A 17,582-nucleotide genomic window follows, 5' to 3' on the forward strand; every position below is an offset into this window, starting at 1 on the left:
TCTAACTGCTTCTTTAATTTATATAGCCTTCATTTCTAGTGCATTTGTATTTTGTCAAATGTCTCCCATGTATGCTTTTACAAATTACCTGGTCTTATCATTAGCAATTGTCTTATTAAGTTGTTTTTTCCCTTAATGTAGAAACTATTAATATATTCTGGGTATAGTCAATAAAATCCTACCCAAATGTCCCAGATTTGGGGCTGATCGAGCAAGAAGTTAAAAATCCTGATAAGGAAAATTCTGAAGGCTATAAAGTTAAATGTGGTCATGTATAAGCAAATGAGAAATCTCAGAACAAATGGGAATTAGCAAAACAACATTTTGTTTCCAAATTTTGGCTACCCTCTGAGAGCTGGAATATGACACAGTTAAAATCAGGACAGAGCAATTTCGTGAAACATAAAACAGTTACAAAAAATGAAGAAAAGCAGCTGCATCTTAGGAGGGAAGTCACTTATTTGCTAAGAAAACTTAAAGCCACACAATTTTTCTGCCCACACCCTCCCTGAAAATGTATTATATTAAATCTTAAAGTTTATTGCAGAACTCACTTTATTTGCCATATGATTATGTTTCGAGAGGAATCCAGGGAAAAAAACATGTGGACACTAGATATCTGAATGTGAGAAGATATCCGAAGTGGAACATACAAATAGCATATAAACATACATAGATATGGTATACACAGGTGTAGTATCTGTATCCCCATCTACGTATCTATCTATCATCTATATATATACACATCTATGTATCTATATATATCTATAGTCACTGATTGGGGGAAATCGCACATCAAATGAGAATTCTTAGCATGGTTACTTGTTGTATATGTATCCTTGAGCAAGTCACTTCCTTTTCTTGATCTCAGTCCCTTCATTTCTAAAGTGAGGAAATTAATAACAGGATCCAACTGAGTTGCTCTGATAAGTGAGCTGTATGCAAAAGTTCCTATAAACTCTGAAATCATCTATGAATGTTAATATTTTCTTGTTGAACAATTTTACAGAAAGATGGAAGAAAATTATGTTTTTGTTTAAATAAAACTCAGGTGATTACTTTAGGGCTCAGTTTTAGTAGTACTGGTATTAGTGTTGTTTTCATTTAGCTAAAATGTCTGAGTGCTTATCACATGCTGAGCAATGATCCACACACTATATAATCTCACTTAAACCACATCAGATCTTTTCAAATGAATGGTAATGGAATTTTAATTTGACAGAAAAGTGAAGTCAAGAGTAATCAATTAATTTTTCCAATGCAATGAGGATATGATGAATAGTGGCACCAAAGGATAAAACCATGCCCTTGGGTATCACAGTACACTGGTTTTCCAGCAGAGGATTAAGAAGGGTCAACTTGGAAAGTGAGTTTTCATTACGTAGAACTACCTCCTTCCCTTAATGTAGGCGTACTATATCTGCTATAGTGGCCTCCACCTGACATGACTGGTGGGGGTGGAGGAGTTGCCATGCAGGACACAGGATGTCTAAAATCCAGAATTCTCAGTCCCCACACAAACTTCATATAACTCATAAACTCTGCCCCAACCCTTGCTTTGTTGGCTTCGCAATTCTTCTTCAACCACATTCTGCAACCATAGCATCCAGCACAGCCTATCTATTTAACATGTTACCTGTACACATACAGTGCCCCACTACTAGATTTCTGGGAATGGAGAGGAAGAGGTTGGCCTTGTATATATATGCTATTGATGTGTTGCCCCCATACTGAGCCCTGCACATAACTTCTGGAATGTTCCACATGATGTTATCACTTTTTCCTTTTTTACCCTTATTAATATTAGCTCAGATTTCTATTTATTTTTAAAAAATCTATATTTTCCTCTTTTGCCCAGCACATCTCTTCCCTTTCCTTCTAATACAAAATATTAACCACATTAACTGGTCCTTGATATCAGAAATCCCCTGTTATTAGTAAGAACATGTTGAGTTTAACACATTTTTAAAATCCCTATATTAATTCTCTAACATATTGGGCCTAACATGTTTTGAAAACCAACCAAGCTCATTAATTTAACTGTTTTATTGTTGTTTACTTTTTTATGCATCACATAATGGGAGTAAAACCCAGTGTGAAATCCATTCTAATATATATGTGTGTATATATATATAATTTATATATATAATATATATTTATGTATTATATATTATATATTTTAGAATTACTATATATAGTAATTTTTTAACAATTTAGAATGACAATTACAGTATGTATATCTGAAGAAATGTGTACAGTGTCTTTTTATATATTCACTATGATTCAATATGATGAGGTGTTTGCTTTTTATTGAAATGCTCTTGCCAGTTAGTGGACAGTTTCAGATGTTAGAAGGTTCAATGTCTCACCGACCTAACAACTATTCCTCAGTTATGTTTTTCCTGTTTCCTTTCCTGTACTCTGGAACTTCAAAAACAACAAGAAAATAATTATTTGTAAAAATCACCTTACATGCCTACAGCACATTTCATTTCACAAATCACAAAATAGGCATTTTGATCATCACCTGAAACAGAGATACAGGTATTATCAGTAGCTCCCACATACAGAGACCCAGAGAGATTATGTGGCTTAGCCAAGGTCACATTTTAGAATAAAAACAAAGCTATTATTTGAATATATTTTTTGCAAACTTCTAGTTTAAAATTTTCTCTAATTCTCTATGGCAGCTCTTCCACCATTTGAAAATAATTAATATTCCAACTATCTTTGTTCCAAACTAAAATCCCTTGGCTGATGTTTGGAGGTAATCTGATGAATGTACCTATTGTCTCAAACAAATAGCTGGTCATTACTCTCCTTCATTTGCCTTCTCCCTTGGATGTGAAGTTTAGTTTGGGATGCCTTGCTAAGTTGAAATCTAAGAGAGTGGTGTTTGTCGTTTTGAGCATGGGGACTATTTATAAAGAGTCATGTGAAAGTCTGAAGGTCTATCATCTATAAGAGAAGAAATGGCATTTACCTTCAAGAATTTAAATAATTTTAGAAAATCGTATGTATTTTGTGTAGCTCTAGATAGTTGATTAGAGCAACAAATGCATGTTAGAGGGAAATTAATTTCAGTCCACTCTACCTCTTCTAGATTAAGTTGAATATTCCATTGTACCCTGACTCTTTTAAACGAGCAAATAAATTAATAAGGGAGATCTTTCAAAGTTACAACTTTGCAAACTGTTCACCTTCCTCTCAAACCCTTATATTGATCAGTTTTTCATGGCCCATGTATTTATTCATTCCTTTGCAACCCTGATGCCAATTCTCTCTTATTTTCTCCCTTTAAAAATTTTATTTTTAGTTGACCAATAAAAATTGTCTATAGTGTGCAACATGTTGTTTTGAAATATTTATATAGTGTGAAATGGCTAAATCAAGCTAACTAATATATGTTTACTTCACATACTTATTTTGTTGTGTGGTGAGAACACTTAAAATCCACTCTCAGCAATTTATATATCTCTCTCTCTATATATATTTTTAAATCATACTTTAAGTTCTGGGATACATGTGCAGAATGTGTAGGTCTGTTACATGGGTATACATGAGCCATGGTGGTTTGCTGCACCCATCAACCCGTCATCTACATTAGGTATTTCTCCTAATGCTATCCCTCTCGTAGCCTCCCACGCTCTGATAGGCCCCGGTGTGTAATATTCCCCTCCCTGTGTCCATGTGTTCTCATTGTTCAACTCCCAATCATGAGTGAGAACATACGGTGTTTGCTTTTCTGTTCCTCTGTTAGTTTGCTGAGAATGATGGTTTCCAGCTTCATCCATGTTCCTGCAAAGGATATAAATAATATAATACATTGTTAGCAACTATAGCCAAAGTGTTATATAATAACTCACATGAACTTATTCCTCCTAAGTTAAATTGTGTATCCTTTGACTAACATCTCCCCACTCCAACTCCCATTTTATATTTTAAACTTCTTCTACTTTCCTACTGGATCTCTGCAATATTTCACTGAGAAATGCTTTCAACTGCAATGTAACAGAATATTTAACTAGAAGTGCATGTTGTGGAATTTTGAAGTCTACTCAAAAAGTCAGTGCACAAAATCTAAGACTAGGAACACTGTTGGCATAACATAGTGAACTTGCTGTCACTGATAGAAATCAAGTTACTAGACTTCAAGAAAAATGATATACAGAGGGTTCTCACAGTAAGCAGGATGTTGGTCTAAATCAACATTTCTGGAAATTTTGTCTGATGACCATCTATCCCTGAGTCATTTAGGAAGCTTAAGATAAAGTGGATTTTTAAGCCCCAGAGTAGGATTACTGAAACAGAAGTTCTGGAGTGAGGTCATGGAATATGCATTTTTCAGAAGATTCCCAAATGATTGTCATTCAAAGTTTTGAGAATCCTTTGTCCATGTAGTCATTAAAATTTCTTTCAATTATTTCATTCCAAAGACTAGTGATTTGTCATCTAAAAATGGGACACTAGACAGGAACGAGGCTGACTCCAGAATGTTGAACGACATGTGCCAGACACTCCCTTAGACAGGAACTGCTGAATAGGTGGGAACGTGTGTAACTCTGATCAGCCCCTAGTCCTTAACAGTCCCTGTGCATTTTACCAACATAAATTTACTTAACATATATTTAGGATAGTTAGCTCTTCTTGTTGAATTGATCCCTTTACCATTATGTAATGGCCTTCTTTGTCTCTTTTGATCTTTGTTGGTTTAAAGTCTGTTTTATCAGAGACTAGGATTGCAACCCCTGCCTTTTTTTGTTTTCCATTTTATTGATAGATCTTCCTCCGTCCCTTTATTTTGAGCCTATGTATGTTTCTGCACGTGAGATGGGTTTCCTGAATACAGCACACCGATGGGTCTTGACTCTTTATCCAATTTGCCAGTCTGTGTCTTTTAATTGGAGCATTTAGCCCATTTACATTTAAAGTTAAGATTGTTATGTGTGAATTTGATCCTGTCATTATGATGTTAGCTGGTTATTTTGCTCATTAGTTGATGCAGTTTCTTCCTAGCCTTGATGGCCTTTACAATTTGGCATGTTTTTGCAGTGGCTGGCACTGGTTGTTCCTTTCCATGTTTAGTGCTTCCTTCAGGAGCTGTTGTAGGGCAGGCCTGTTGGTGACAAAATCTCTCAGCATTTGCTTGTCTGTAAAGTATTTTATTTCTCCTTCACTTATGAAGCTTAGTTTGGCTGGATATGAAATTGTTGGTTGAAAATTCTTTTCTTTAGTAATGTTGAATAGTGGTCCCCATTCTCTTCTGGCTTGTAGAGTTTCTGCCCAGAGATCAGCTGTTAGTCTGATGGGCTTCCTTTGTGGGTAACCCGACCTTTCTCTCTGGCTGCCCTTAACATTTTTTCCTTCATTTCAACTTTGATGAATCTGACAATTATGTGTCTTGGAGTTGCTCTTCTCGAGGAGTATCTTTGTGGCATTCTCTGTATTTCCTGAATTTGAATGTTGGCCTGCCTTGCTAGATTGGGGAAGTTCTCCTGGATAATATCCTGCAGTTGGATATCCAATATCCAACTTGGTTCCATTCTCCCCGTCACTTTCAGGTACACCAATCAGATGTAGATTTGGTCTTTTCACATAGTCCCATATTTCTTAGAGGCTTTGTTTGTTTGTTTTTATTCTTTATTCTCCAAACTTCTCTTCTCTCTTCATTTCATTCATTTCGTCTTTCATCACTGATACCCTTTCTTCCAGTTGATCACATCGGCTACTGAGGCTTCTGCATTTGTCACGTAGCTCTCGTGCCTTGGTTTTCAGCTCCATCAGGTCCTTTAAGGACTTCTCTGCATTGGTTATTCTAGTTATCCATTCATCTAATTTTTTTTCAAAGCTTTTAACTTCTCTGCCATTGGTTTGAAATTCCTCCTGTAGCTCAGAGTAGTTTGATCCAGATTCATAAAGCAAGTCCTTAGTGACATACAAAGAGACTTAGACTCCCACACAATAATAATGGGAGACTTTAACACCCCACTGTCAACATTAGACAGATCAATGACACAGAAAGTTAACAAGGATACCCAGGAATTGAACTCAGCTCTGCACCAAGCGGACCTAATAGACATCTACAGAACTCTCCACCCCAAATCAACGGAATATACATTGTTTTCAGCACCACACCTACTCCAAAACTGACCACATAGTTGGAAGTAAAGCACTCCTCAGCAAATGTAAAAGAACAGAAATTATAACAAACTGTCTCTCAGACCACAGTGCAATTAAACTAGAACTCAGGATTAAGAAACTCACTCAAAACCACTCAACTACATGGAAACTGAACAACCTGCTCCTGAATGACTACTGGGTACATAATGAAATGAAGGCAGAAATAAAGATGTTCTTTGAAACCAGCGAGAACAAAGACAAAACATACCAGAATCTCTGGGACACATTCAAAGCAGTGCATAGAGGGAAATTTATAGCACTAAATGCCCACAAGAGAAAGCAGGAAAGATCTAAAATTGACACCCTAACATCACAATTAAAAGAACTAGAGAAGCAAGAGCAAACACATTCAAAAGCTAGCAGAAGGCAAGAAATAACTAAGATCAGAGCAGAACTGAAGGAAACAGACACACAAAAAACCCTACAAAAAATTAATGAATCCAGTAGCTGGTTTTTTGAAAAGATCAACAAAATTGATAGACCGCTAGCAAGACTAATAAAGAAGAAAAGAGAGAAGAATCAAATAGACGCAATGAAAAATGATAAAGGGGCTACCACTACCGATCCCACAGAAATACAAACTACCATCAGAGAATACTATAAACACCTCTACGCAAATAAACTAGAAAATCTAGAAGAAATGGATAAATTCCTCGACACATACATCCTCCCAAGACTAAACCAGGAAGAAGTTGAATCTCTGAATAGACCAATAACAGGCTCTGAAATTGAGGCAATAATCAATAGCTTACCAACCAAAAAAAGTCCAGGACCAGATGGATTCACAGCCGAAATCTACCAGAGGTACAAAGAGAAGCTGTTACCATTCTTTCTGAAACTATTCCAATCAATAGAAAAAGAGGGAATCCTCCCTAACTCATTTTATGAGGCCAGCATCATCCTGATAGCAAAGCCTGGCAGAGACACAACGAAAAAAGAGAATTTTAGACCAATATCCTTGATGAACATCAATGCAAAAATCCTCAATAAAATACTGGCAAACCAAATCTAGCAGCACATGAAAAAGCTTATCCACCATGATCAAGTGGGCTTCATCCCTGGGATGCAAGGCTGGTTCAACATATGCAAATCAATAAATGTAATCCAGAATATAAACAGAACCAAAGACAAAAAACACATGATTATCTCAATAGATGCAGAAAATGCCTTTGACAAAATTCAACAACGCTTCACGCTAAAAACTCTCAATAAATTAGGTATTGATGGGACGAATCTCAAAATAATAAGAGCTATCCATGACAAACCCACAGCCAATATCGTACCGAATGGGCAAAAACTGGAAGCATTCCCTTTGAAAACGGGCACAAGACAGGGATGCACTCTCTCACCACTCCTACTCAACATAGTGTTGGAAGTTCTGGCCAGGGCAATCATGCAGGAGAAGGACATAAAGGGTATTCAATTAGGAAAAGAGGAAGTCAAATTGTCCCTGTTTGCAGATGACATGATTGTATAGCTAGAAAATCCCATCGTCTCAGCCCAAAATCTCCTCAAGCTGATAAGCAACTTCAGCAAAGTCTCAGGATACAAAATCAATGTACAAAAATCACAAGCATTCTTATACACCAATAACAGACAAACAGAGAGCCAAATCATGAGTGAACTCCCATTCACAATTGCTTCAAAGAGAATAAAATACTTAGGAATCCAACTTACAAGGGACATGAAGGACCTCTTCAAGGAGAACTACAAACCACTGCTCAATGAAATAAAAGAGGACACAAACAAATGGAAGAACATTCCATGCTCATGGGTAAGAAGAATCAATATCGTGAAAATGGCCATACTGCCCAAGGTAATTTATAGATTCAATACCATCCCCATCAAGCTACCAATGACTTTCTTCACAGAATTGGAAAAAACTACTTTAAAGTTCATATGGAACCAAAAAAGAGCCCACATTGCCAAGTCAATCCTAAGCCAAAAGAACAAAGCTGGAGGCAACACGCTACCTGACTTCAAACTAAACTACAAGGCTACAGTAACCAAAACAGCATGGTACTGGTACCAAAACAGAGATATAGATCAATGGAACAGAATAGAGCCCTCAGAAATAATGCTGCATATCTACAACTATCTGATCTTTGACAAACATGACAAAAACAAGCAATGGGGAAAGGATTCCCTATTTAATAAATGGTGCTGGGAAAACTGACTAGCCATATGTAGAAAGCTGAAACTGGATCCCTTCCTTACACCTTACACAAAAATTAATTCAAGATGGAGTAAAGACTTACATGATAGACCTAAAACCATAAAAACCCTAAAAGAAAACCTAGGCAATACCATTCAGGACATAGGCATGGGCAAGGACTTCATGTCTAAAACACCAAGAGCAATGGCAACAAAAGCCGAAATTGACAAATGGGATCTAATTAAACTAAAGAGCTTCTGCACAGCAAAAGAAACTACCATCAGAGTGAACAGGCAACCTACAGAATGGGAGAAAATTTTTGCAACCTACTCATCTGACAAAGGGCCAATATCCAGAATCTACAATGAACTCAAACAAATTTACAAGAAAAAAACTAACAACCCCATCAAAAAGTGGGCAAAGGATATGAAGAGACACTTCTCAAAAGAAGACATTTATGCAGCCAAAAGACACATGAAAAAATGCTCATCATCACTGGCCATCAGAGAAATGCAAATCAAAACAACAATGAGATACCATCTCACACCAGTTAGAATGGCGATCATTAGAAAGTCAGGAAACAACAGATGCTGGAGAGGATGTGGAGAAATAGGAACACTTTTATACTGTTGGTGGGACTGTAAACTAGTTCAACCATTGTGGAAGTCAGTGTGGCAATTCCTCAGGGATCTAGAACTAGAAATACCATTTGACCCAGCCATCACATTACTGAGTATATACCCAAAGGATTATAAATCATGCTGCTATAAAGACACATGCATGTGTATGTTTATAGCGGCACTATTCACAATAGCAAAGACTTGGAACCAACCTAAATGTCCAACAACGATAGACTGGATTAAGAAAATGTGGCACATATGCACCATGGAATACTATGCAGCCATAGAAAATGATGAGTTCATGTCCTTTGTAGGGACATGGATGAAACTGGAAACCATCATTCTCAGCAAACTATCACAAGGACAAAAAACCAAACACCTCATGTTCTCACTCACAGGTGGGAATTGAACAATGAGAACACATGGACACAGGAAGGGGAACATCACACACTGGGGCCTGTTGTGGGGTGGGGGGAGGGGGGAGGGATAGCATTAGGGGATATACCTAATGCTAAATGACGAGTTAATGGGTGCAGCACACCAACATGGCACATGTATACATATGTAACAAACCTGCACGTTGTGCACATGTACCCTAAAACTTAAAGTATAATAATAAAATTTTTAAAAAAGTTAATATGAATAAAGACATAGCCAAGTTAACTGACAAAAAAAAATTTACTTAATAAAGGTCTGAACCTAGGACCCATTCATTCTCTCATTTCTCTTTTCAAACATTTTATTCTTGAATTCAAGAACCTTATTTGAACAATATTCTAATGCTAGACAGTGATCCATGCACTGAGCCACAAACTAAATGCAATCATTTTCATACCAGAGGAACTTATGTTTAAGTGGAAGAAAACAATGCGGAGATATATAAAGTAATAGTTTATTTGAATATGGGATATTACAACAAAGGCATACAAATTGTTGCCATTTAACACTGTAGGATACTTTTTTTTTAACTTCTATTTTAGGTTTGGAGGTATATGTGCAGGTTTGTTTTATAGGTAAACTTGTGTAACAGGGGTTTGTTGTACAGATTTTTTCATCACCCAGGTACTAAGCCTAGGACCCAATAGTTATTTTTTCTGCTCTTCTCCCTTCTCTCACCCTCCACCCTCTAGTAGGCCTCAGTGTCTGCTGTTCCTTTTTTGTGTGTCCATGAGTTCTCATCATTTAGTTCCTACTTGTAAGTGAGAACATGTGGTATTTGATTTTCCGTTCCTGTGTCAGTTTGCTAAGAATGATGCCCTCCATGTTGCCACAAAAAAAAAAACCATTATTTCAATCTTTTTTAATGGCTGCATAGTATTCCACAGGGCATATGTACCATATTTTCTTTGTCCAACCTCTCATTGATGGACATTTAGGTTGATTTCAGTCTTTGCTATTATGAATAGTGCTGCAATGAACATTTGCAGGCATGTGCCTTTATGGTAGAATGACTTATATTCCTCTGGGTATATACCCAGTAATGGAATTGCTGGGTCAAAAGGTAGTTCTGTTTTTAGCTTTGAGGAATTCCCATACAGCTTTCTATAATGGTTGAACTAATTTATATTTCCACCAACAGTATATAAGTGTTCCCTTTTCTCCACAACTTTGTCAGCATGTGTTATTTTTTGACTTTTTATTAATACTCATTCTGACTGATGCGAGATAGTATCTCATTGTGGTTTTGATTTGCATGTCTCTAATGATCAGTGATATTGACCTTTTTTCATCTCCTTGTTGGCAACATGTATGTCTTCTTCAGAAAGGTGACTGTTCACGTCTTTGCTCACTTTTTAAATGGGTTTTTTTGTTCTATTCTTGCTCAGAGAAATCAGAGATGACATCAAGAAAAAAATGTAAAAACATCCCAGACTTATGGACAGGAGGAATCAATATCATTAAAATGGCCCTACTACCCAAAGAAATTTACAGATTCAATGATATTCCTACCAAACTACCAAGAACATTCTGCGCAGAACTAGAAAGAACTATTTTAAAATCCATATGGAACCAAAAAGAGCCTGAATAGCCAAGGCAATCCTAAGCAAAAAGAACAAAGCTAGCGGCATCATGTTATCTGACTTCAGAAAACTACACTACAGGGCTACAGTAACCAAAACAGCATGGTACTGGTACAAAAAGAGACACGTACTCCAATGGAACAAAATAGCCCAGAAATAAGGCTGCACACCTACAACCATCTCATGTTCAACTAGGTTGACAAAAACAAATAATGGGGAAAGCATTTTCTGTTCAATAAATGGTGCTGTAATAACTGGCTAGCCATGTGCAGAACATTGAAACTGGAACCCTTCCTTACAGCATATTCAAAAATCAACTCAAGATTGATTAAAGAGTAAATGTAAATCCCAAAATTATAAAAGTTCTGGAAGACAACCTAGGCAAGACCATTCTAGACATAAAAATGAGCAAAGATTTCATGACAAAGATGCCAAAAGCAATCACGACACAAGCAAAAATTGACAAGTGGGATCTAATTAAACTTAAGAGCTTCTGTGCAGCAAAACAAACTACCAGCAGAATAAAGAGACAACCTAAAAAATGGGAGAAAATATTTGCAAAGTATGCATCTGACAAAGGTCTAATATCCAGCATCTATAAGGAACTTAAACCAATTTACAAGAAAAATAAATCATACTAAGGTATTTTAATAGTCACTGAAATAGGGGAGCTTACTATCATGAATAAAGATGTTAAAGGGAGTCTTCTTTGTTATGGATATTCTATTTGCCTCTCCACAAGCACTCTGTCACCCCTTCTTACACATATTCGCATATAAGAGGCCAACAGTTGAGTTGCTTCTGACTACCACTTGGCTCCAATTATTGAGCAATAACAGCAGGTGATCAGCAGATCAGAGGGGAAAAAGAATGAGACCAGGATGATCAACCTCAAAGCCACACCCTCCTTGCTGAAATTTGTTAGTTGCTTCTCCCCTGTGTAAACCACTATTTTCCCAATTGATCCATCCCCAAAGCTAAAGGTATTGCTAAGTTCTGATAACTTGTTTCTTCTCTTGCTGTTTCAGAGTTAAGGATAGTAATGAGCTTTCCCACTTGCCATTCCAGGTATATTCACTGACCCTTCTTAGTTTTAATGAAGCCGTACCTTTGTAAGTATCCTATTCATTACTCTTTTTTTTCAGTTATCCTTTTTTAGAATACCAAGTCTTTCTTTCCTGGGAACTCATCACCTGAATTTGAGAAGAAGCCCTCCCAAGGCTTTTCTCAATAAAGAATACATTTGGTAGCTCTGGGGAACTTTAGGATGGCTCATGTGGCTGGAAGGGAGTTTAGGAGTGATTAAAGAGATCGGACAGAAGGCAGCAGACAATTATTCTGCCTTTCTTAAGGAGTCCAGATTTTGTTTTAAATTTTAATGGGGAGCCAATGCTGGACTTTAAGCGGTGATATAATCATATTCAGGATAAGTAAACAGGCTATAGAATCAGACTGCCTGAGTTTAAACCCTGGCTCTGATAATTATTTGCTTAGTAACCTTGGTCAGGTTACTTAACCCCTGCAATGGTTACTTTTATGTGTCAAACTGACTGGGCCTTGGGGTGCCTGGAATAAATGTTATTTCTGGATGTGTCTATAAAGGTGTATTGGATGAGATTAGCATGTGAATTGGTGGACTCAGTAAAAGAACATGGCTCTCCCAGTGTGGGTGGGCATCATCCAATCCATTGAAGGCCTAAATAGAAAAAAAGTACAAGAGGGAGGATTTGTTCCGTTCCTGCCTGCCTGTTTGAGCTGGGACACTGGTCTTCTCCCGCCCTTTGACTAGGGTTTACACCATAGGCTCCCCTGGTTTTCAGGACTTCAGAGAAGAATTGAGGTTACACCTGCCAATCAAGAAAAATGACTGCACAAGCCTCAATCATTTTAGGAGGCTTATTTGCCAAAGTTAAGGACGTGCACCTGGGAGACAGGTCTATGCCTTTCTCCAAAGATGATTTTGAGGGCTCCAATTTTAAAGGGGAAAGGGAGGGATATTGAGAATTATACAATTTTCATGTAAGAGGTGGGTAGAGAAAAATCGTCATTCATGCCTTTGTCTGGCTCGGTGAACCCTCGTTTTTTACATAAGATGACATAGACAAATGAAGCAGAGGAAAAATGCAGGGTATCTGCATTTTATATGAGACAACATAGACAAAATGGACAGGGGAACAATCAGATATGTATTTGTGTCTAGTAGACCGGTCGGGGGGGCAGGGGTGTGACTGCATCTGTTAAAATAAGCTATCAATTTACATTGCTATGGTAAAATTTTAACACTAAAAAACACCTTAAAAGGTCTTGCAGCTCACTAGGAATTTCCTTGTGGGCAAAATATAGGGTAAGCATGTAGCTTTTCATCTTGTAGCCATCTTATTTAGGAACCAAAAGAATGTGGCAGGTTTGCGTGACCTAGTTCCCAGCTTGACTTTTCCCTTTGGCTTCATGAGTTTGGGATCCCAATATTTAATTTCCTTTCAGATGCCACTGGTTTTCCTGGATCTCCAGCTTACAGATGACAGATTGTGGGGCTTCTTAGCCTCCATAGTCATGTGAGGCTCATCATCATTCTTCACTATGTGTAACCTGTTGGTTTTGCTTCTCAGGAGAACCTTCACTAATGCAAACATTTCGTGCCTCACCTTCCGTATATGTGAGTAGGAGATAGTAACAGCACCTGCACTTAAAGTAGATGTAAAACTAAGAGTTAACACATAAAAGTACTTAAAACAGAGCTTAGCACATTGTAAGCAATTTACAAAATTAGCTATCATGATTATGTTTTAAAAGGATCACCCTGGTTGTTCTACCAGGAACACACATAGCTGAAGGACAAAAGCAAAAGCAGACAGATGCCTGCAAATACTTTCCATGGTGCAGGTGAGAGATGAGAGTTTGCAGAAAGTGGAGACATCAAAATGTCATTGGACAGACATCCACATCCTAGCATTCTTGAGACCTATACTCAAGTCACCCAACATTAACTCAGTCTCAGTCTCGCCTTTGAAGAGAAACTTACTGTGGCCTACTTTTTCTGGGTGTTGGGAAGATAAACCATCTGTTTGTGAAGTTCTTTAAGAGTATATGGTATAATTTGCATTTATTTTTTTCTTAAGTTCTTCTCCAGCTCCAATAGTGAGAGCAAGTTATTAGTAGTCTGTACATAACCTCCAAAATGACCACTAACCACCGGATACCGTAGTAACCTGCAATAAATTTTAGAAACATGTCAGCCATTTAGGTAAATCTTCTATAATTTTAATTTAATTCTATTGATGAATGTTGAGGATAATCTCTTGAAATTGATTCCTATTGATTTGTGTCTAATGAAATTCAATTAAACCCTAGTGATTTGCATTGAACAAATTAAATTGCACAGACTAATTGGATTGAAGGCATTTTCACTGAGGTGGAGAGCATTCATGGGGATGAACCCACTGTGATATGGCTTTAATATGGGCTCCTGGAGTGATAGTTATTGGAAAATTATTAAAACTCAGCACATGTGTCGATTATTAAGAGCACGTTTTTTTAAAGAAAGATGAACTGCATAGGTCTTGTAATTATATTAACTCTTTGGCTCCATCACCTGTAACTAGTTGAGGATTGGGTGTAAGGGCTGCTCTTCTAATGATTTTAACTTTAATTGTAAAGAATGAGGAATGCAATACATCTGAAGAGAAAAGGCAAGGTAGAGAAGGAGGCAAACATTCACTAAGCATTGGATGATTCTTTTGTGCCTTTGTTTTTTAAAAATAAACATGCAGAATAAATCTGCATATAGCTGCCTGCCTTGAATACATCTTGTGTAATATTTCAGATCCTCTCAGACTTTCCTGTCCCTTATTTTAGCCACAATTGCAACAATCCCTATTTTAAGATGCATTGCATCCTGCTAGTGCCCCACCTCAGATCCTTGCCAGTCGTGTCATCTGGGACTTCACTGTTGACACTGCTGCAAAGGACATCACAGGAATCCACTGGGGGTTCATCTCTACATGCAACCTAGAAATGCAGGGGAGTTAGCAGCCCCAAGAGTTAAGCTTTGAGTAACAATGAACAGCTTTGGGAGGCTGAGGAGGGCTGATCACTTGAGGTCAGGGGTTCCAGACCAGCCTGGCCAACATGGCAAAACCCCATCTCTACTAAAAATACAACAAAAAATTAGCCGATCATGGTGGCGCATGCCTGTAATCTCAGCTACTTGGAGGCTGAGGCAGGAGAATTGCTTGAACCCAGGAGGCAGAGGTTGCAGTAAGCCAAAATCGCATCACTGCACTCCAGCCTGAGAGCCTGGATAACAGAGTGAGACTCTGTCTCAAAACAAAACAAAACAAACAAAAACAAACAATAAATGGGAGTTCATGAACTGAATGTCCTCCCAAATTTGTGTGTTGAAGCCCTAACCTCCAATGTGATGGTATTTGAAGGCAGAGTCCTTGGAGGTAATTATGTTTAGATGAAGCCGTGAGGGCAGGGCACTCATGAGCCCTCTTTATTTCTCTTTCTGCCATGTGAGGATACTTTCACTCGCGTCCCTGTGAAGAGACCACCAAACAGGCTTTGTGTGAGCAATAAAGCTGTTTATTTCACCTGGGTGCAGGGGGGCTGAGTCCGAAAAGAGAGTCAGCAAAGGGAGATCGGGTGGGGCCGTTTTATAGGATTTGGGTAGTTAAAGGAAAAAGGGGGGTTGTTCTCTGGTGGGCAGGAGTAGGGGTCACAAGGTGCTCCATAGGGGAGCTTTTGAGCCAGGATGAGCCAGGAGAAGGAACTTCACAAGATAATGTCATCAGTTAAGGCAGGAACAGGCCATTTTCCCTTCTTTTGTGGTGGAATGTCATCAATTAAGGCAGAAACCGGCCATCTGGATGTGTACCTGCAGGTCACAGGGGATATGATGGCTTAGCTTGGGCTCAGAGGCCTGACATTCCTGTATTCTTATATTAATAAGAAAAATAAAACGAAATAGTGGTAAAGTGTTGGGACAGCGAAATTTTTGGGGGGGATGGTATGGAGAGATAATGGGCGATGTTTCTCAGGGCTGCTTTGAGGGGGATTAGGGGCAGCGTGGCAACCTAGAGTGGGAGAGATTAAGCTGAAGGAAGATTTTGTGGTAAGGGGTGATACTGTGGGGTTGTTAGAAGAAACATTTGTCATTTAGAATGATTGGTGATGGCCTGGATACAGTTTTGTATGAATTGAAAAACTAAATGGAATAAGAGAAGGAGAAAAACAGGTATTAAAGGACTAAGAATTGGGAGGACCTAGGACATCTAATTAGAGAGTGCCTAAGGAGGTTCAGCATAGCCTTGCCAGCAAAGATTATTTATTTACTTCAAGAGTTCAGAGTGGCAGTTTGGGGATAGCACCAGGAGATACCAGCTGTGATGGCTTGGAGAAACAGTGTAAACCGGCAGTGTAAACAAGAGCAGGGCATGTATGAGTAGTTGAGAACGGTGAATAGGAGTATGACTAGACAGAAGATAGTAGGGATGACAAGTTTTTTGGGGCACAGTCCAAGTTGGTCTGGTGTCTGGAATGAGACTGGGGCCTAATAAAAAGGAGCGTCTATACAGGAGCTCAAATGGGCTGTCCCTTGTAGCATTCCCAGGACAGGCCTGAATTCTGAGAAGGAAAAGTGGTAAAAGTATTGTCCAGTCCTTTTTAAGTTGGTGGCTGAGCTTGGTGAGGTGTGTTTTTAAAAGACCATTAGTCTGTTCTACTTTTCCTGAAGACTGAGGACTGTAAGGGATATAAAGGTTTCACTGAATATAAGAGCCTGAAAAACTGCTTGGCTGATTTGACTAATAAAGGCCGGTCTGCTATCAGACTGTATAGAGGTGGGAAGGCCAAACTGAGGAATTATGTCTGACAGAAGGGAAGAAATGACCGTGGTGGCCTTCTTAGACCCTGTGGGAAAGGCCTCTACCTATCCAGTGAAAGTGTCTACCTAGACCAAGAGGTATTTTAGTTTCCTGACTCGGGGCATGTTGAGTAAAGCTAATTTGCCAGTCCTGGGCGGGGGCAAATCCCTGAGCTTGATGTGTAGGGAAGGAAGGGGGCCTGAATAATCCCTGAGGAGTAGTAGAATAGCAGACGGAACACTGAGAAGTTATTTCCCTGAGGATAGATTTCCACGATGGAAAGGAAATGAGAGGTTCTGGGAGGCGGGCTAGTGGCTTGTGCTATAGCATAGCCTGCCTTTGCTGGTGTGTGGCGATTAGGCCTGGTGGAACTGTCATCAATAAACCAAGTGTGATCAGGGTGAGAAACAGGGAAGAAGGAAATGTGGGGAAATGGGGTGAATGTCAGGTGGATCAGAGAGATGCAGTCATGAGGGTCAGGTGTGGTATCAGGAATAATGTGGGAGGCCGGATTGACGTCCGGGCCAGGAACAATGGTAATTGTGGGAGACTCAACAAAGAGTGAGTACAGCTGAAGGAGCCAGGGAGCAGAAAGTATATGCGTCAGGTGTGAGGAAGAAAACAGATTTTGGAAATTATGAGAGCTGTAGAGAGTCAGTTGTGCATAGTTTTTTATTTTAAGGGCCTCTAAAAGTATTAGGGCAGTAGCAGCTGCTGCACGGAGACATGATGGCCAGCC

The 17,582-nt window shown here is 38.6% G+C and overlaps 1 long non-coding RNA gene across 1 annotated transcript in view; it reads right to left on the reverse strand.

Annotated features, from left to right (window-relative positions):
- Positions 1-537: 537 nt before the first annotated feature.
- The window catches only part of LOC401478 (uncharacterized), a 273,872-nt gene continuing 256,827 nt past the window's right edge, over positions 538-17,582 (reverse strand). The window contains exons 6-8 of the long non-coding RNA NR_161374.1: positions 14,887-14,984; positions 13,999-14,185; positions 538-3,798 (exon numbers count right to left, since the gene is read on the reverse strand). This is a non-coding gene — a long non-coding RNA (uncharacterized LOC401478). The remainder of the gene's footprint in view (positions 3,799-13,998; positions 14,186-14,886; positions 14,985-17,582) is intronic.

This window comes from Homo sapiens, chromosome 8 (genome assembly GCF_000001405.40).
Source record: "Homo sapiens chromosome 8, GRCh38.p14 Primary Assembly".
NCBI lineage: Eukaryota > Metazoa > Chordata > Mammalia > Primates > Hominidae > Homo > Homo sapiens.